General features: G+C 39.8%; 1 protein-coding gene across 20 annotated transcripts in view; it reads left to right on the top strand.

Annotated features, from left to right (window-relative positions):
- Window positions 1-21781, top strand: part of GLIS3 (GLIS family zinc finger 3) — a 666339-nt gene that overhangs the window by 326303 nt on the left and 318255 nt on the right. The window contains exon 1 of one of the 20 annotated variants that reach the window (XM_011517766.3): window positions 10860-12049. The exons of 17 other annotated variants lie outside the window; for them this stretch is intronic. The gene's annotated coding sequence lies outside the window, so the exon portion shown is untranslated. Of the gene's footprint in view, window positions 1-10859; window positions 19325-21781 lie in introns of those variants that run through there. 2 more of the 20 variants (XM_017014361.2, NM_152629.4) reach the window with 2 other exon arrangements.

Raw genomic sequence — 21781 nt, 5'->3', positions numbered from 1 at the left:
GACACTAAATGACCCACTGTCATTTGAAGGAGGCAGTTAAATGTGGACTCATAACATCCGGGAAATTAAAACCAGCATATAGACCTTTGCATATTTTGTGTTTAGAGGAAGACGTGACAATTGGATGAGAATAAAGTAGATTATGAAATAAGGTTAAAGTTAATTCTTATGAAGGACCAGGAAATCACTGTACCATGGTATCCATGAATGAGGGCTTATAGCCAGTGTGGCTGCTAGAAATGCATGGTGATGAAAAGCACTGGCCTTACTCATTTGTAGCCTTTTCATTATATGTTGTTATTATTATTAACAGTAATAATAGTGTAATAAGCACAACAAAACCACCACCACCAACTAACATACTGAGCACTTACTGTACACTAAGCACAATTCTGAGCATACCTAATTTTCTCAAGAATCCTGTGAGATACTAAATACTATGTGGCTGATGCTTTTATTACCTCCATTTAATATTTCAGAATACTGAAGTGTAGCTACTCAATGACTGGCCCGCATATATAAGCAATGGGCCTAGAATGTGAATCTTTGCAGTCTAATTTCAGTGTTCACACTCCAAACTGCCATGCTGTCCTGCCTGTGAAATGTGGTCTTACTGCCTGGGTAGAAATACCACTTGAGAGGCTACATGTGGCCAGGCTGGACTAGAAGCCAGAAAGTGTGAGGACTTCGTCTCAGTTTGGTCACAAATTATTCCCATGATCTTGGACAAATCACTTGCTTATCATTTCTTGTTCATCTGTAAAATGAAATTGTTATGTTAAATGAGGTATCCTCCAGCTCTTAATATTCCATGGATTGTGAAAATGATGAATTTCAGACATAGGTAAATTAAATGGGCATGTTTGAGAAATGGTATGTGTGCGCGCGTGCGCGTGTGTGTGTGTGTGTGTGTGTGTGCCAGTGCACATGCGTGCACATGCTGAGACATAAAAAATGAGGCAGCAGCTATGGACCCAGGCAGATCTGTGTTCAAACCCTAACTCTCCTGTATGACTTTAGAGCTGATTGCTTTATCTCTTTGAACTTGAGTTTCTTTATTTTCTAGTGGAGGTGATGTATAACATGTGTAGAGTCCCTAGCATGATGCCCAGGCATTGTTGCTACTTCCCCTCTCCATCCTCATGTGGATGATGAGAGGGTAGAAAGTACCCTACTTAGGGAGCTGGGTCCAGAGAAGAGATTAGTTCAGTTAAAAAGAACATTTTCTTGAAGAGGTGGCTGTGTAGGTATTTTTGCATGGATGGATCTGTTGGCGATTGATTTTTTTTTTTTTTTTTTTTTTTTTTTGACAGAGCGAGACTCTGTCGCCCGGGCTGGAGTGCAGTGGTGAAATCTTGGCTCACTGCAAGCTCCGCCTCCAGAGTTCAGGCCATTCTTCTGCCTCAGCCTCCTGACTAGCTGGGATTACAGGTGTGTGCCACTATGCCCAGCTTATTTTTTGTATTTTTTAATAGAGATGGGATTTCACCGTGTTAGCCAGGATGGTCTCGATCTGACCTCGTGATCTGCCCACCTCGGCCTCCCAAAGTGCTGGGATTACAGGCGTGAGCCACCGCACCCGGCCAGTGATTGATCTTATAGATGAGAATCTTCCATTCTGAAACGGTCAAGCTTCTAACAGGTTTTCCTGATAGACTTATTCATTGAATTATATCACCTTCCTTCCATTGTTCTTGCTTGGGTAATTATTTTGTCTGCAAATGTTCTTCAGATTCCTTGGACCAAGTGACAATTGAAAGGATACTGGCTGAGAATCACACTTGCTTGAAAGATATCCCCCCAAATTAATGCCCACCTGGAACCTCAGAATGTGACTTTTGTTTTTCTGGAGATAGAGCTTTTGTAGATGTAATCAAGTTAAAAAAATGAGGTCATACCGGATTAGAGTGGGATCTAATCCAGTAATTGATGTTCTTAAAAAAAGAAGGAAATTTGGACACAGAGACAAGAATGCAGGGTGAACACAGAAGACATACAGGGAGAGCACCACATGACGACAGAGGAGGTGATGGGAGATCACATATCTATAAACTGAGGGATGGTCAGTGTTGCTGGCAACCACCAGAAGCTGGGAAGGGGCAAGGAAGGATCCTCTCCTAGAGGCTACAGAGAGAGCCTGGCCCTGCCAACACCTTGATTTCAGAATTCTAGCCTCAGCCTGGGTGCAGTGGCTCACGCCTGTAATCCCACCACTTTGGGAGGCCGAGGCAGGTGGATCACTTGAGGTCAGTAGTTTGAGACCAGCCTGACCAACATGGTGAAACCCCCATCTCTACTGAAAAAAAAAAAAAACAAAAATTAGCTGGGTGTGACATGCACCTGTAATCCCAGCTACTTGAGAGGCTGAGTGGGGAGGATTGCTTGGAACCTGGGAGGCAGAGGCTACAGTGAGCCGAGAATTGCGCCACTGTACTCCAGCTTGGGCGACAGAGCGAAACTCTGTCTCAAAAAAAAAAAAAAAAAAAAGACTTCTAGCATCCAGAACTTGGAGAGAAGAAAATCCTGTTGTTTCAAGCCATTCAGTTTGTTGTACTTTTGTTACGGCAGCCCTAGAAAACTAATACAGCAAGTGAAGTATCTGCTTCTTACCATAATAACTGGGGCTGGACGAGTTGGAGAGAGACAAGTAGACACTGACTAAAGGGGAAAAGAAAGTCCAATGCATCCACGAAGGGGTGTTTTTGAAACCCTTTATTTGTCATGGGGCTCCTCTTCCCCATGTGTATAAACATTCTTTTTATTCTTATTGTCCATGATCAGAGCAGGTGTTGTGGAAATGCTAAAACAGAAATTTTCTAATTGATTAAAATTTGAGGCTAATATTATTTTTTATTTAAATTTTTAAGATTCTTATTTGTTTATTTATTTTGAGACAGGGTCTCGCTTTGTCTCCCAGGCTGGAGTGCAGTAGCACGATCATGGCTCACTGCAGCCTTGGTCTCCTGGGCTTAAGCAATCTTCCTGCCTCTGTCTCCTGAGTAGCCGGGACTACCAACATGCCTGAATAATTAACAAAATTTTTTCTTTTCTTTTCTTTCTTTCTTTCTTTTTTTTTTTTTTTTAAGAGATGGGGTCTCACTACATTTCCCAGGCTGATTTCGAACTCCTGGTTTGAAGCAATCCTTCCACCTTAGCCTTCTTAAGTGCTGGGATTATAGGCATGAACCACCACTCCCAGCCAACATTACTTTTTAAAATTTGACTTTCATAAAAGCAGTATCCTCTAGACTGCAGTGATTACCAATACGGATATGGAGGTGTTGCACACACAATGAGTATTGAGACAGGTGACTACCTGGTTTACCAGCTGATTTAAATATTCTTTTGAAGTCATCTACATGCCTCCAGAAGTTAAAAAAGAATATATCTGAAACCCTAACTTGGCTATAGAATAGGTTGGAAAGTACAGAGTTCGTTAGAATTACATTATTATTTGTAATCTGGGATAAATATTGAAATTGTAATAAGAAAAGTAAGTCTTACCTAAAATACAAGGACTTTGAAGAAAATCACATGATAAGACAAAACTGTCAAACAAGCTTGGGTTAACGTGGACTCATTTGGTTCCAGAAAAGCTCAGAGTGAAGACAGCTCGTGAATTCTGTCATCAGGCAGTAAGGCCTGTATCGCATGTCACTTTGCTTTGTTTTTAATATGTGGTTCAAGCTATGCCAGGCCTGCCGCTGTGCGGGAGATGTACTTTCTGACAAAATAAGGCATTTTCCTGGCATCAGATCCTTTTGGAATTTTTACTGGTTTGCATAAACCCGGCGAGTTCCTATTTCCCACACATATCCAGTGCAGTCACACTTGGCATTGCGGATTTATGGTGGTCTTGAAGCCTGTCAGTGCCAGCGTGGTCAGTTCCTTAGCACCACTGGAGGTTATTCTGAAGAAATGAAACCAGGTATTCGTTCATCCATTATTTAAAAATTGTCTCTCACCTACTATGCCTGTAATGAGGAAGAAATAGCGGAGGCAAAATAGACCAATTTCGGAAGGACTGAAAATATTTTGTGGAGTGGAAAGTATTTCTAGCAGGCTATCTCCTTTTCCTCTGTCTCCTCATCCTTTATGATAATAAAGTTCACTGGAAAAGTTCGTTTGCATTATTTTGTGTTCAAAGAGATAATAATGGTGATGATGATCACAATGATGATATTAATACTAACATTCATTCTTGGTTGTCTCTTACTGGCTGAGTTGAAATACTGTATAAATAAACAAGTCTGAGGACATGAGTCTGAGCTCTTCTGAGTTACTTTGGAAACCCTATTGGCTTGCCGTCTTAACTCCTGGCTCTTCTCTCCTGAATGTATTTCATTGTTGGTCACAAGAGAGATCTGTGGAACTATGTGGGCCAACCCCCAAGCACAGATTTATTATCTCTTTTCTTTTCTTTTCTTTCTTTTTTTTTTCTTTTGAAATGGAGTCTCACTTCTTCACCCAGGCTGGAGTGCACTGGTGCGATCTCGGCTCACTGCAACCTCTGCCTCCCGGATTCAAGCAATTTCCCTGCCTCAGCCTCCCCAGTAGCTGGAATTACAGGCATGTGCCACCATGCCCAGTTAATTTTTGTATTTTTAGTAGAGACGGGGTTTCACCGTGTTGGCCAGGCTGGTCTCAAACTCCTCACCTCAAGTGATCCACCTGCCTCGGGCTCCTAAAGTGCTGGGATTACAGACATGAGCCACTGCGCCTGGCCACAGATTTATTATCTCTTATGGAAAAATAACTATAAGTACCTTCTCCAGCATTGAGAGCCTATGGTCTATTAACTTTGCATAGAAAGGGTAGAACATGATCATCCGTATTGAAAGAAAGGGCCAAGACAAGGCAGAGATTGTACAAAATGCGAGAAAACTCTCCAGTGTTTCACATATGACCCTGGAGATGGTTCATCTGATTCATTCAACCCGCATTTGTTAACCATGAGAATCATATATGGGATGGGGACTAGTGATGCAAATTCAAGTAATATACAGGCCCTGTTCTCAAGGAGCTTATAGTCTAAAGTTGAGACTGGTGAGCCATCTGCAAATTTATCTGGTACCACATTCTCCCTTGCCGAGTACATTGCAGCTAGCCTGGCTTTTTTTTTTTTTTTTCTTCTTCTCCTTTCTCTAGCATACCAAGCTGGTTCAGCCTTCAGGTCTTTGTACTAGCCATTTTTTTCTGCCCGGGACTCCGCCCCCGTATTGTTACATGGCTGGTTTCTTCTCACTATTTGCATCCCAGCTTATGAGCTACCTCTTCCATAGGCCTTTTCTGCCACTCAGTTCAGAGTAGCCTCCCATCTCATCTATTTTATGTCTTTGATGGCACTTACGCTTATTTGAAATTATCGTGTTCACTTATTCATTCACTCATATTATTGTATATTCTCTCACCACTACAATGTGCACTTTATGAAAATGGGGGAATGTTACTTGTCTTATTTACCATTGTATCCTTGGTTAATATGTTTTTATTGAATTAATGGATGGACAAATGAATGAATGCTATCATATATTATAATACATTTAGTAGTGAAAACCTTAACAAAGTGCTATAGGAAAATGAGGAAAAGTCTGACAACTTCTGTATCTCAGCATATCGGGGACATCTTAAAAGACATGTGAGCTGGATCTGGAAGACAGGAGACAGTATAGCTGAAGGCACTACTTCTGCTTAGGTAAATGAAGCTCTTCTTTCTTAATCTCGACCCTTCCTGCCTGACCCACTTCATCGTGGTATTCAGTGAACAGCCCAGATAATTCCGTGACAGAGGGGACAGTAACAGCCCAGTAACTGTGACCTCTGCCCTCTTTGGACACATGTATCAGGGATATGGCAAACATGTGTTTACTGAAAACGTCTCTTTCATGCTACAGAAAGTTGCTAAAAGCTCGTCTTTCCAATAAAGAGAAACTCAGAATTGATGTAATGGAGAAAGGAGCTTATGAAACATAAGAAGGAATTCTCGACAGAATAAAAATAGCAGCTTAAAAGAGGCATCGTTTTGGAAAGGAAAAAAAAGATTTTTTCCCCTCTACTGTAAGAAAATATGTGTGGATGAGGCATGTGTGTTAAACTACAGAATAAAATTTGCATGTTACTTCAGGGTGCTGCAACCATGGCAATTCAGAGTTTTGTCGGTCCTGACAGGCATGCTTGCAATATATACATCCGTTAACAAGATTATCAGTTGAAGAGACAATCATATTTTTACTGAAAAGGTTTTTTGAGGATAAAATTTATTGATATTTAATGAAGCATGAAGTTTCTAAATGAACCATGAAAGCAATAGCTAAACTAATTAACTGCACATAAAGGCTCCCAGAATGCATACGTGATGTGGACTGTGTGCTTATCAATTGTGCCTGGTTACACTGACATCTTGGATAACATGCTCCTCATATGTGCTTTGTGGAAGCACTCGTAAATCCTCCTGTAATGCATGCACTAAAGGAGGAAATAACCATTTAGATTTCCTGCAAATGTGGATTGAATATTTAAGTCAAGCACTGAGGGTTTATAGGTTATAATTTAGCAGAGTTAGGCCTAGTAATAATAACATATTATTTCCACATACTTGATTTAAGCCTCTATGTATGCTCTTTCATTGAATGATAGATCGTTCCCTGGTACTAAAAATATGCATCTTCCTCCTTCCTCTCTGCTCCCCACCCCAAAGAGAGACCAAGGATGCTAAATAACATGAGATGAACATTTCATTGTGCAACAGGGATTCATGTGGGCCTTTTTCAACTACATGCAAAATCGTGCCCTGTTGAGAGCTCGGAGAATTTTCAGAAGCAGGCAAAATCAGTCCTGCTTTGGTGTTCACTGTAAGTCACACCAATTTGGGAGGCAGATGACTAACCCTAACAAAACTGTTAATGTTGACCTTTATCAATGGCCATCTTCCTTTCACCTGGTGTCTCCTTATTCTTAGCCACAGGCACCTACCTCTACCCCATTGCTGCAGAGCCTAGCTCATAACAAATAGCTTATAATTACCGCACGCACCTTTCTGAAAATAATATTCATACACTAATGAAGGAGTTTGACAAATTATTAGGACCTGTAGTAATCATATATGTTAATGGAAGCGTTACAGGGACTGTGACAGATGTTAGAGCCGTGCTTTTCAAATGTAAGTGTTGAAAATGCCAATGGGTTGACCCTACCCCCAGGTTTCTGATTCGGTAGATATGGAGTGAGGACAGAAACTTTGCATTTCTGACAAGCTCCAGGATGATGCTGATGCTGTTGGTCCAGGTACCACACTTTGAGAACCACTGCAAGCTAAGCTGGGAGAGGGCATTTTTTTTTCAGAGACACTCTTATCATATACCCTTTTGTTCCTTAAGGGTTGTTTCTGTTCTTCAGCATATCCAGGGTCCTCCTCATCAGATAAGGGCATGAAACTTACTGACGCTTAAGCATAATGACCCTTAAAGGGCTACCCTTCACAAGGATATGTAAATTTTAATGGGGTGAAACCAAAGGAATGAAACTCTGAAGAAGATATTTTATCTTCCAGTGGGTTGAAGGGTTTTGGGAAATATAAAATTTAGACCTGAATTCACCATTCAGACCAAATACACTTTGTCCTTGAAGCATCTCTGTGCCCTACTTACCTCTAGATGATCCCACCTTTGTTTCCACATTCTGTCTGTAATACTTAACACAGGAATTGTTATACAGCTGGCACCTGCTAAGTGTGTATTGGGTGGATAAGGAGGATGAATGTATGAAGTGTACAGGGACAAAAACTTGTGTGATTTAGTGCTTCTCTCCTGAGGTTTAATCAGCTAATCGGTAAGGGAAGGAGAGGAAAGGAAGTAGAGAAATTCGTGTAGGAAAGGGCAGAGACTGCATTAAAGAATTAAGATAATGGAGGAAGAAGGGAGGGAATAACCTTATTTCTATGTGAATGTGAGGAGAGTTTGTTTTGTCATGTGAGAGAATGGAAGAGTGAAGGAAGGCTTCAGGGCTGCTCAAGGGTATAAGAGTTGTCAATCAAGAGGAATGGCCACACAAGAGGTGATTTTTTTTTTTAATCCATTGCTGGACTTGGGGTTTGAATGTACTTCTCCACCTGAAACTGGTATGAGGAGTTCAGGGATTTATTTGGGTTATGGATGATTAAATTTGTTAACAGATACCAAATAATATATTGTTAATGTGAATAATAGGGGATAAATGAATAGCAGTAGCATGTAGTGGGAAGATGCTTAGGTGTTCCTATGATCTTGAGCAGTGGTTCCCACAGCAGAGGGGCCTGAGGACCTGCAGCATCAGTATCAGCATCACCCAGGAACTTGTTAGAAATGCAAAATCTCAGGTCCCACCGTACACCCATTGAATCAGAAACTCTGGGATGGGCCTAGCAATCTATGCTTGTACAGCCGTCCGTGAAATTCTGATGCACACTTAAGTGGAGAACTGTGGGCCTGGGGAGTTGCTCGACTTATGGGTTCTCCATTTGAAGGAGAAGTAGACACTGTACCTGGCTCGGACTCTCTGAAATTCAGGAGGGCTTTTGGTTAAAAGATAACCGGTGACTAATGTCCTATGTGTGAGTGCAAATTATTGCTAAATATTTCATCATTTAAAAGGCCTATGAAGGCACAAACGTTTTGAGTTCAGCAAAGAAAACAAATACGCTAAATATTGAAAAGGGTAAGAGAAAAGTTTAGAAAGCAGTCACACCGCACAACTGCCTAAGAATCTACGCCACGGCCAGGTCACGAGCTTGGGAAAGTTACTTGATTATGGACAAAATGCGCCATGTAATGGGTCAGTGGTTCCAGGTGTAATCCACTGCTGATGTCATTTGCTGCACAATCATGCTTATTCTCTTGCTTTTTAACTTGCTTTTTAAAAATCTTTTGGCAGTGATCCAGTAACGTGACCTTTTTAGTGTTTTACACATTAACACTAGTATTTTTTTCTTCAGAGCATTATTTTTTCAGTGTAGAAAAATTATGTATGTTTATTGCAGAACATTTTTTAAATACCGAAAAAAGAATAAAAGAAACTTATCTACAAGTACTTTGTAGATGCAGATATCATTTGTTAATATTTTAGTAAGCAAATACATGCATGTGTCTTGTGCCTTATTCTAAATAAAGTTTCATGGTCTCTTTTTCCACATTGTGTTACAAACTCCCCATGTAGTTCAGTATTCTTTGAAAATATAATTTTTAAGTGCAGCAGACATTTTTTATGTATACGGAAAGTGTACTATAATTTGTTTAGTCAAGTTTGCTTTCTTTTTTACTGAACTTACGTTGTACCAAATATCTTTAAAAATGATGGTCTAAATGTCTAAATATGTCCATAGGGTAGATTATTTGGTCAGATGAACATTTTAAATACCTCTGACTGTGTTACCAAGTTGCTTCCCCAAAGGTTTATATAACATATTACACTCTCAACTCAATCTACTGGCAGAATATTGTGTTCATTTTATGTCTTATCTACTAGATTATTTTGTGAATTGGTTAGGCCCTTTGTTTTTCCCCCTACATGAATGTTTATCATTGATTCGCAAGGACTGTTTATGTAAGTCTTTAACTCTTTGTGATATAGAATGTTAATATGTTTCCTGGTCTTTTGTTTGCTTTTTCATTTTGTTTGTGGTGCTTTTTGAGCTAAAATATTTTTGTAGTTATATCTGTTTATCTTTGCCTTCTGCATCCTAAAATGAAGTAAAAAATTCAAATACATTTTCTTTTAGTTGTTTTACATTTTATTTTAATATTTATCTCTTTATTTCCCTGGAATTTCTTGTGGCATATTATGGCTGATTGTCTTTTCCAATGATGACTAAAACCATAGCTCCCATTCTATATTCTCTTTTGTGATGTGACGCTCCCACTCTTATGTCAAGAGATGGAGTCTATTTCTCTACCCCCTTGAATTTGCATGGGTTCCAAGACTGTTTGGGCCAATTACATACAGTAGAAGTGATGCTACATCTGTTGGAGGCATGTTTCTAAATGGCCTGAAAGCCCCCTCTTTCTGCCTCTCGGAAACCAGCCACCATGCTGTGGGAAGCTCAAGTCATGTGCAGAGGCCATGTGTTGGTGTTCTTATTGACAGCCTCAGCGTAGCTCCTAGCTGATAGCCAGCATCACCTGGCAGCACGGGAGTGTGCCACTTAGATGTCCATCCAGCCCACCCTTCAGATGACTGCTGTCCTAGGTGACATGTGACTGCAGTGCATGAGAGACCCCAAATGAGAAGCATCCTGATGGGCCCAGTCAACCCCTAGAACCACAAGAGATAATAATAAATTGTTGTTTTAAGGATGCTAAGTTGTTGAGTGGTTTGCTATGTAGCAGTAGATAATCAGAACATGTATACAAGTCATGTGAATAAGCATTTAACTTTGATTTTTCTTTCCAAACTATAATAAACTGTTGACCCACTACCATTTATTGATCTCTTTTCATCCACTCATTTGTAAAGCAATAATATGCAAACTTTACTATATATTTGAGGTCATGATTTTATACTTCTGTTCTCTTTCTTTATTTAGTTTAATTAGTCTTCCTTCTGTGTTCCACAATATATATATATTTTGAGACAGAGTCTCACTGTGTTGCCCAGGCTGGAGTGTAGTGGTGTGATCTCAGCTCACTGCAACCTCTGCCTCCTGGGCTGAAGTGATTCTCCTTCCTCAGCCTCCTAAGTAGCTGGTATTACAGGAGTGCACAAGCACACCTGGCTAATTTTTGTATTTTTAGTGGAGACAGGGTTTCAACATGTTGACCAGGCTGGTCTTGAACTCCTGACCTCAAATGATCTGCCCGCCTCAGCCTCCCAAAGTGCTGGGATTACAGGTGTGAGCCACCATGCACAGCCCACAATTTTTATTTTCATATTTTTGATTATTAGTACTATTTTATTCTTCCAAGTTAGAATTCATTGTCAAGGTAGTGAATAAGGAAAGGCCCATTAGGACTTTGCATTAATTCAGTGGTTTTCTCTCTGCATGATATTGCTCCTTGGGGACATTTGGCAATGTCTAGACAGAGTTTAATTTTGGTTGTCACCACGAGGGGTGCTACTGGCATCTAGTGGGTAAGAGGCTAGAGATGCTGCTCAGCATCCTACAATGCACAGAGCACTCCTGCTCTTGCAACAAAAAACTATGGAACACAAAATGCCAGTAATGCAGAGGCTAAGAAGCACTGCATTCAACCTATAAGAAAGTTAGGAAGAATGAACATACTTATTATATGTTGCTTTCTCCTCCAGAAACATTTACATATCTATGTTTATTTAGGTCTTCAGAAACAGGTAGTTTTCTTCATATTACATGCCATTCTTAAGAATTTTTAATTCTTTTTTTCATTATATTTTAAAACTTATAATTGATGGTATATAAGAAACCTATTGCTTTTGTAAAATTTACATTGCGTCTTGTCACCTTATTGAATTTTCGTTTATAACAATTTTTAGTGGATTCTGTTGAATTTTATAGGTAGAAAGAATTTCTGAAATTTAACTTTGTGAAAAGGAGAGAGTGAACACCACGTTTACTCAGAAAATGGGTTGGAAAGGATTTGAGAGATTATTTAATTACTCACCTGCATTTTAGTGGTGATAAATCTGAGGCCTAGAGAAGTTAAATACTCTGCTTCATGTCACATAATTTGTGTAGGCTCCTAGAATGGAAAGTAGCCCAAACAATAGCCTTTGGATGAAGGCTGTGAAAATCCTCATAATCTACATTAAAATGTAAACCTTGTTATTGTGTTTAAAGCCTTTGAGATGTTATAGAGTTGGGAATGTCCTTAGGGATTTTTCTCTTCCATTCCCCTCCTCCTACATTCTCTGCAATATCCTGGCAACCCCGTCGTGTATTCTTCCAGGAACAAGAACCCTGCCTCACAAAGGTTCCCAGTCACTTCTGATTTCTAGAAAGTTCTTCCTTTGGTTCCTTCCTGAGGCTCACACATCCTTTATGGTTGAAGGGTGTTGGAGGAAGCAGAGTTTTCATCAGCTGCTGAAGTGGCAACTAATAGAGGTTTGAATGGCCGTAGAAAAATATTGTGTTACTTGTTTGTTGTCTAGGTGAGATATGAGACTGGGAGGGTTTGAGGTTCTGGTTTTTTCATACAAGACCTGTGCAAACTGGAGATCCCATAAATATTTGTTGAATAACATTGAATTTTACGTGATGTTTTTATGTCTTCTCATTCTTTTTTATGAGAGTCCTTTGGGTAAGAGTTGAGCCCAAGGAGGACTGAGGGTCTCAACCTCAAATGCCCTTCATTCTGTCGCCTTCCAAAGGTTCTCTCCTGCTGTGGAAGGTATGAGTATGTTTAACTAGGAACAGATGATTATTATGCTTCATTACCAGGCATGGTCTCTGTGCCACAGGACTCTATCCAAACTCATAGACATAATGAAGAGCGCTTTCATTGTTTAGGACTCCTGAAGGCAGATTTTTTCCTTAGAACAAAGATGAAGAAAGGCCACAATCCAAAGAAATCCCCTCAGTGCAAAACTGTGAACTGGACAATTGTTCTGCAGTTATTTTGCCAAGAAATAATAGCCTTAGAGCCCCACTTACTGCTTGTAAACTTTCTTTGAGAAGAGAATCTTTAAAAAAATTATGCTGTCAAGTTCCATATGCTTAAATTAGACTTTCCCCCTTTCTAAGCAAGGTGCTTGCTCTCCCTGAGCAGTCTGAATGTTGGTTCAGTGGCAGATTTACATTTGGTGGATGAATAAGCAGGCACTAGTTCTAATAAAACCTGTGGTTTAGCTGTGTTTCTGCTAAAACATATAGTTTGAGGAGATAGAGGCAAACTCAAACTGAACCTCTTTTTAAAAATGTAACAATCTGATTTCTTTTTTCTCCTGAAGAGTCATACATTTTGTCTGATCTGGGAGAATGCAGGCTTTTGTATCTTCTAGGCTCAAAGACACTTGGAAGAGAGAAGTCTCTGGTGGCGTTTTCAGATTCAACCTGTGGACTGAAACAGAGTCGATCTCTAGGCACAGTTGTTAAGTAGGCATCTCTATGTCGCTTTTCATCCTGATCTCCTCCTCTGTGCTTACCCCTTTTTTTCCTTCAGCTCTTCATCTCTTCATGGACGCTCCTGTCCCCAACCCAATGCTCATTGTGTAGGAGTCGATCATCTGCCATCTTCACTCTATTTTGAAGGCAAAAGACATTTTTAACTGCCTCAGAGGTATTTGCATCATTAAGCACCATTTATAACTGACAGCCCCAAAAAAGTAGTAGGATACATTAGAAAGTGGGTTTAGTTGGGTGCCCAAGTACTTGGATTTTTGTCCTGATGCTGCCATTAACTAGCTGTGTGACCGGGTGAAAGTCACTTTACATCTCTGGACTTGAATTTTACAATTTATAAAATAAGGAGGTTGGACACATGATTTCTAATCTTCCTTCTTGGCATCTAAATCTATGAATTCAAAGCATGGTGGGGGCAGAGATACATCTTTTTCTTATGAGGGAAACCCTTGAAATTGTTTCATCATCTATTCTGGTTTAAAGATAGTCTTTTAAGATATGAGAGAGTAAAGGTTTTCTGATGTGATTTGCAGATGGGAAGAGGAATCGATATTTTCTGAGCATTTGGTTTGTGCCAGGCTGTGTGCTAGATGGTATGTGATCTTACCAGGCTGAATGTGGTGATTTGGCTGAGCTTGCCACAGACTGAACTTGGCCTCCTGGCCTGCGACTTTGCCCTGGCATAGATTCCTCTTGCCTCCATATGGCTGGCCCCATCTACCTACAAATTTACGTTTTCCTCCTCCTTATGTGAATATTTTTATTGGTTAGTAAAAGCAGAGGACAGTCAGTGGCTGGTTGGACTCTGCTTTTAGGTCAGTCCAGTTGTGTAAGATCAAAGTTTGGGCTACTGAGGCAGAATTTTAGAAAAGACCCCCTTTCAGCTTTATTTTTGTTGTTTTTAAGGTAGGTTGGTTTCTAGTAGAAAGGGGCCCTATAAAAGCTTTGGGTCTGTATGGGAGGTTGCTTCTCTGGGGAAGCTCTTCTTTACCTTTTATTGTACCAGATTCACTGTGAAATTATCTTTGTGCTCATCTGTGTGTGTGTGTTTATGTGTGCATGCGTGCACCCGCACGTGCATTATGTTCTTATATTCCTAACATATATCCGTATGAACTGTGCGCATTCAAGACTCTTCGTGAATAAAAAGTTAGTAAATCCCTTTTGTAGTAAGATATATGCAAGTGCAGATAAGATACTTCATATCTTGTTTCTAAATATCACCATCATTATCATCATCGTCATCTCCTTCTCTGTGTCTCAGTAGCTTTTTTATCCTACCTTATTTTACCAGACATTATTTTGTGCTGTGATTCTCTTGATCTCTGTTTCACCTGCTCCTACCATGCAGTTTTTAACTCCTGAATGAGTGAGATAACAAATGAATTTCATGTTATGCATCAAAAATTCCTGAAAGTAAAAGGGGTTATGTAATAGACACTTAACCACTGCTTTAAAGGTTAGACTAGTGTCATCTATTTGTACTTGCATGCCTGACACCATTTATGGTACCTACACAGAATAAATTAAGGTGTCATGCCTGACTATTGCTTATATATGGAAACCAAGAGGTTGGAGGCTCCGCGTGAGTGTGAGTTCCAGCTTTGGGAGAAGAATGACAATTGTCCTGTGTTCTCTCCATCTAGGAGTATTTGTCCAGTTATGTGGGAGGTGATGGTTAAGGGAATATGAATGAACTCATAGCCATCTGTGTGTGTTTTTTGAGTTGGGCTAGCTGGGGTTTGAATACTCACTCTTAGCAGGTTAATATGGTCTTCAAGCCTTAGTTTTCCTCCCCTGTGAAATGGGATGGTAATAATCAAGGTTGTTGTGGGAGCTAAATGAGTTAATCTGGGAATAGAGCTAGGCATCCTCCTCTGGCACCAAGTAAGCCTTCCATTAAGCTTACTTTAACTTTCACTTCATTTTTAATGTATAGATGAATCACTATCATTATTATTCTTAGTAGCAGTAGTAGTAGCAGCTGTAATAGTACAAGTTCTTGGTGAGGAAGCATGATCACCATGTTGATAGCTAGGTAAACTCTGCACCTCCTTTGGAGTATTTGGAGAGGAGACAGAGGTTTGTTATAATCTTGTTTCCACGGAGGGCTTCATGGGAAAGGTGAGAAGTCAAACAGTTTGGAAAAGGTTCTGTTGATAGGGACGAGCTTTGTGTGCAGTGAGGTGTGGAGTCAGCCTGTGGAGGAGAGAGGAGAATGGGTTAGGAATGGCCAGGACAACAAAGTGGCAGCTCTGGCCACGTTACCCCCACTCCAGGCTTCTCAGCAATTTCTCTGTTTATTTTATTTTTATTTTTCCCCTTATTTTAAATTATACAATCCCACCCTCCTTGTAGCCCTCTCTCCACCTACCTGTGCAAAGAAGTTCTTTACTAAAACTTGCTACAGGTATGGTGTGGGCATTACCTGTTCATAGGCATTAGGAAGCTGAGGCCTAATATTCTGGGGTGATGGGTAGGGGTCCAGGTGGATTAGGTACAGTCCCTGTCCTCATGGGCCTGCCAGTTTAGGGGGAAAGGTGAGATATAGATACATGAGGTAGAATTGATCCACAGCACAAAAGACAAATGAATAACTATGTGGGAGTTTAGAGGAGGAATAGAGCACTGTAAACCTGGCATTGGAGGAAGGAATATGGAAGGTTTCTTTCAAGGAGGAGGTAGCATTTGAGCTGATCTTTGAGGATGGAAATATGGAGAGTATGGGGACGTGGGGATGTGGTGACCAGGGATTTCAGGCTGCCTGGAGTGGAGTATGTCTGAAAGAACCATAGTGGTGAATTCAGGCTGAAATCAAACTCCTGTGAGTGTAGCAAGGAAACCGATGTAGCCAGATCTCATCTAGAATCAGCAATAATTAGTAAGAGTTTTCCTGAAGCTATTTTTGCTATAATAAGAAAAAGGGGGGAGGGATTAAGAGCTCAAGCATTCCTGGTGTTCAAGTTAAATGTTAACTCCTTTGTGTAGTTAACCAGTAACTTACTCTTTCCTATGCAAAAGAAAAAAAAGGAGAGGGAGAAACATAATACAGTGGTAACCACCTCACTTCAAAAAATCCTGGTTTGCTAATGTGTTTGCTTATTTTCAACATAATACATACGTAGCTATTATAGAGATGTGTGCAAAATGAAACAGCCGACAGTAAGTTGACTTACCTTTGTGAATTCCCTGGATGTCTTCTGCAGGGTTTGCAGAGTTAGCTATTTTCAGACACATCCCTAGTTTAGCCATTAGAATGTTATAATTTTTTTTTTTTTTTTGGTATGAACTCAGCAAGTGAAACTTTGCTTCCAGAAAGGTGGGTGGGTGAGTTCACCCACCTGCTCTGACCCAGGCAAGTTAATGACCTGCCCAAGTATTGTTCGCGCTGGCCAGCGCTGGCTGACTTCACCAGCAGTTCCCCTTGAAGGGAGTCATTGTTTCTTACTCTGCATTTGTCAGATGCTTTCCTCTCTGCACTCCAGCCTTTGCTGAATGTCCTGGCAGTTCCTGAATGTTCCTGCTGCCTGCATTTTATAAAACCAAAGAGCAAGTAGCCCTGGAAATGTATGCCAAGTACTCTGCACAGCTGTCTGAGGCCCCCAGCCAAGGGCAAGATATAAACAATCTATACCCACACAGGTACACAAGCAGACACTGCATATGGAAGCCCCGCAGTGCAAGGACTTCTTACTTCTAACACTTTAAAATGTCAGTGGCCAAACAGCCTGAGAACATGAATAATTTAAGCATGAGATGCTTTTGCTGATGATTTTGATCATTTTTCAGGAAGAATAATGGTAAGAAATTTGTTAAGAAATTCCAAATTGAAATTCCATTATTGAAATTCCAATAATAGAATGGAGGTACGTGAAGGAAGAGGACTAGGAATTTTAGAATTTGTATTTGCTGTAAGAAATTAAAATATAGTATGACGTTGAACTTTCAGAACTTCTTAGGATATTGCCTGCATAATGTTCAATTTGGGGAAGAAATGAATGGCCAGAGGAGATTAATTGCAGTGGGCTTAAATTTCTAAATGTCAGGTGCTAGGTCAGGGTGGCTAGAAAATTAGAGGCATACGGTGAAATGCCTTTAATTTGGTATAAGATCTAGTGCATTTGACTCTAAAGATGCTTTGGGACAATCAAATTGAGAAATAATAGCAAGATAGTTTTTAAAAGTCGAACGTAATACTCTTCAGAATGAGTGTCAAATAAAATCCAGTACATTGGTTCTGGCCTGTTTTAAATGAATAGCTCTTGTAGCATCCTTCCTCTTTGCTGTGTTTATCTAGAGAACTGTTTAATTTTTATTAGTAGGCTAATTCTTGCATTAAAGACATAAATTGCATATTTAGGATGGAGAATAGGCGTTTGAGATGAAGTTTATTCAGGGTTCTGTCCCTACTGCTGAAAAATCTAATTCACTGCTGAGTGGATCGTAACTGCAGTTGCTAATTTAAAAATCAGTTCGCCAGATTCCAGTGACTTTGATAAGACTTTTATTCTTTTCAATCTTATGTATTTGTGAGCACATACTTGGGAAGATTGCTGCTGAGTAGTGTTGCATGTCAGAGATGAGGACAGTTTAGTCATTAACCCTAAATTGAGGGTAAAGACTGGCAATAGGCAGCCTGTGGAATGAGGAAAGGGCCAAGTTGAAATATTTCCAAAAGGTATTTTTGTTGTTTACCCTTGTTAATTATTAATACTAATTATTGATGAAAAATAGTTTTGAGTTACATGCCACACATTGTTTAGGAATAAATTATCAAATTTCTTATCTAGAACTATAGTAGATATTCAACGGTTTCAAATAATCGATATTTATTAAGTTAGTAAGGTGTCCCCCCTTCCTTCAACATTAAAGACACAAATCCATAAAGTTCTGGTGCATAAAGACTTTGTTTCATGAAAGTGCACTTTCCTCCCAGCTTTGGGTAGCTTCTTGCACTAAATGAATATGTTAAGAACTGAATTTGACAAAATCAGGTCAATAATTAAAAAGTATCTTTAGAACAAAGTACCTATCTCATGTAAGACATGTAGATAATATATAGGTTTTATAGGTTAAAATTGCCAAATTAGTTATGAATGTTGTGCTTTGTCTCAATTGTCCATGCCTTTTCAGATTTGTACTTTTTTGTCATGTTAGTTTCTTGGAAATGACCTTTTTAGGAATTTCTATATTTTGTAGTTTATCATACAGGCTTAAATGAAGTATATTGTTTAAATTCTACTGAGCGGGTATGCACTTCCCAGAGAAGATTACTCTCTCTGGGAGTCAGAACTGGCTGATACTAAAGGAGAGAGAGGGAGAGAAAGGGAGAAAGTGAGGGAGGGAGGGGGAACAAAGGGAGGAGGGAAGCTGGCAGGAAGAGAAGGGGAGGAAGGGAGAGGAAAGAGAGGGAAGTTTGAGATGTTAGGTCCCTCTGACAGAGGGCACTGATGTGACTTGGAGACTGCTCTCAGAGTCGGGCTGTAAAAGTCGGTGTTCATGCCTCTTAGGCATTATGGGCTTTTTGAATGTTATTAGATTCATTTTAGCCTCATTCTTAAGAACTGTGTGTTGCGATATCCTGTGGGCTTTGGTCATTTTTGGTTTTAGATCATGTTGTTCCAATCAATTGGTTGTACTATATGTATCACAGCAGTTGTGTGCAAAAGGTACTAGCCTTGGCAACCTAAAGATATGTTTGCTTATAGAAAATAACACACACAATTGAACCACCTTTGGGTGTAGTTTTTCATTTACCAGCGTGTTCTCCAGAGGTACCCTGTATTGATGTATTTTCCCAGTAGTGGGACGTTGTAGTATTGGCTTAAAAACCTTACCTAACAAGGAGTAAGTAGGCTGATCCTGGATCAGTTTATTTTCTCTGCCATCCCAAAGACTTGCCCACTGACCTCATCCATAGTGTGGTGTTTGGTCTATGAGCAGTTGATTCACCAGTTTTCAGAGCCCAAGTCTAAAATCACAGATCCTGTGGGGGATCTGGGAGCATCTGCCTTACCTTTATGAAGGTTATGGTCAGTTAAGCCTTGCTTTCAATGGGCTCACTTCGCTATGGGAAGAAAATTCTGCAGTTGTTAAAAACAAAAGGACACTGCCTTTTCCAAGGGAGCTGACAGCTATTGGTTTTTCCGGAGAGGATTACTGGTGAAGACAGTTATGAAGAACAAGTAACTCTTGTAAATAAACAGCATGTTCTTGCTTAAATATTTCCCAGAACAGTTCTAAAGAAATATAATACAGGTAAGTTTTGTTATGTTCTCATTGTGAGTTATGTTTACGAGAAGCAAAAAATAGGATTAGAATCATGGAGGAGGAAAAAAAGCCTTTTCATACCAGTGGCTTATGTTTTATTGAATTCTAACCATTTATAAAATTATCTGGTTTCTTGCCCCTACTCATGGTTGATTTTGTTTCTCTTTTTCCATCTAGAGACCTTTGAGTTATTTTTATTCATAAGTGAAAAATGTATTACAGCTTTATTTCCTTTTATTAATAGTTCCTTCTTGCCCTTAACCACATCTCTGACTTTTTGGCATGTAGAGTCCAATGAGCTCATGCTTAATCATGTATAAACAACCATCTAATTATATGGTTTTGAATTTTCATTTGACCGACTAAACAAAAATGACACAGAAACGAGAAACCTGACAACTTTCCTGTCTTCAGATACCTGGCCTTTTTTTCCCTCGCCCTCTCTTCATGCATTTAGTAAAATGCATGTTATAACCTATCAAAAAATATCACTTTGTATTTGCCAAGTTTCTGAGGTAAAATTGTTCTTTTCAAGGCTACGTGTCAAAAAACAAGTCGGTTGAGCTGAATTATCCGCCTTCTTTTCAGATCTCTTTCGGACTCTATTCTTTCCTCCTTTGGACGGAGGTGTTAGTAGCATTCCTTGCGCTGTGGTGTCAGATGACAGGACAGCATTTATGGAGCAAGGTTTCTCGATCTTTGTTCCCTTGCCTTCTCCCCTGAGGTCCAATAACAGCTCTCCCACTTGCCCTGTCGTCCCACCCTCCCCCAAACCATGCTGACACATTTTTGAAAGAAGATAATGGGAAAATCTTTCCATACTAAGGTGCTCACTATGTTTAAACAGGAAGGGAGACGTCGTCTATTCTCTTTTCTTTCTCACTGGCTTGATCCTAGAATTCTGAAGATGGTGGAAAATCTCTTTCAAACATTTAGATGGTTTCGCCATAGATAGTTCAGTGTGCTTGATAGAAAAAGACAAAAGATGCTACAGAAAGACAAATACTGGCTGATCTCACTTAGGTGTGGAATCCAAAATGCTGGAACTCATAGCAGCAGAGGGTAGAATAGTGGTTGTCAGGGGTTGGGAGGTGGGGAAAATGGGAGATATTGGTCAAAGAGTACGAAGTTTCAGTGTATGCAAGACGAATAAGTTCTGGAGATTGCTCATGCACAATGTGGTGACCATAGTTGACAATACTGTATTGTTTACCTGAAATTTATTAAGAGAGTAGTTTTTTTTTGTTTTTATTTTTTTTTTTGAGACAGTCTTGCTCTGTCGCCCAGGCTGGAGTGCAGTGGTGCAATCTCGGCTCACTGCAACCCCCACCTCCTGGGTTCAAGCAATTCTCCTGCCTCAGCCTCCTGAGTAGCTGGGATTACAGGCACCCACCACCATGCCCGGCTAATTTTTGTATTTTTAGTAGAGACAGGGTTTCATCATGTTGGACAGGCTGGTCTCGAACTCCTGACCTCGGGTGATCTGCCCGCCTCAGCCTCCCAAAGTGCTGGGATTACAGGTGTGAGCCACTGTGCCCGGCCAAGAGAGTAGATCTTAACTTCTCACTACACACACACACACACAAATACACACGTGCGCACATGCAAAGGTAACCATGTAAGGTTATGGGTATGTTAACTATGGATTGTGGTAATTGTTTCACAGTGTGTACGTATGTCAAATCATCACATTATACATCTTACATTTACACAGTTTCTGCTTGTCATTTATGCTCCAGTAAAAGCTGAAAAAAGACACATATCTTTATTCTTTTTTTCTGGATATTTTGCAAGGTGAGTATGTCAGAGAGTAGGTTTGGCTAACTAGTACCCAACAGCTATAAGAGAGAAGAAAGGGAAGCGGATACCTGTGAAATTTGGCCAAAGTGATTTATTTCCTCACTGATCTTTCAGCCTTAAAACATAATTTGATTTCTCAAAATTTCTCTGAAACATGCATATCCTTAAGTGTGAAAATTTCATACACTTAGATGGGTTAGGTTTGGAAGGAAATTGTATTGATTCCATTTTGAGAATTTGGAGTTAGTATGAGCTTGTTGAGATTAATGTCTAACAGTCTTCCTTATTGGAAATACTTTGGAGATCTCTTCATAATTTTTCTGCCCATTGTAAGGTGCTAATATTACCCGATGACTTTTGGGGATTTATTATAATATTTTATTTCAAACTGGATTTGTTTCAAGGTTTGTATTCCACTCATTGTATAAGAAGATCAAAGTGAGATTTCTGCCTGTAGTTTTGTTATTTTTGTTTTGCTACAGAATGTTTAGAACACAGGAGACCACATCCTGGCAGAGTTTATAATTTGATTCACCTGGAACAGTTGAATGAGGAGGCACTCTAACCCCCAAGCTAAGGCCTCTACTTAATTGACTCTTTGATAATTAGGAAAGGATTTTGTTTCTCTCCTTCTCATTAACATTG

The sequence above is a fragment of the Homo sapiens genome, chromosome 9, assembly GCF_000001405.40.
Source record: "Homo sapiens chromosome 9, GRCh38.p14 Primary Assembly".
Taxonomy (NCBI): Eukaryota; Metazoa; Chordata; class Mammalia; order Primates; family Hominidae; genus Homo; species Homo sapiens.
The sequence above is the reverse complement of the archived record's forward strand: the minus strand, read 5'-3'. Positions and strand labels throughout refer to the sequence as shown.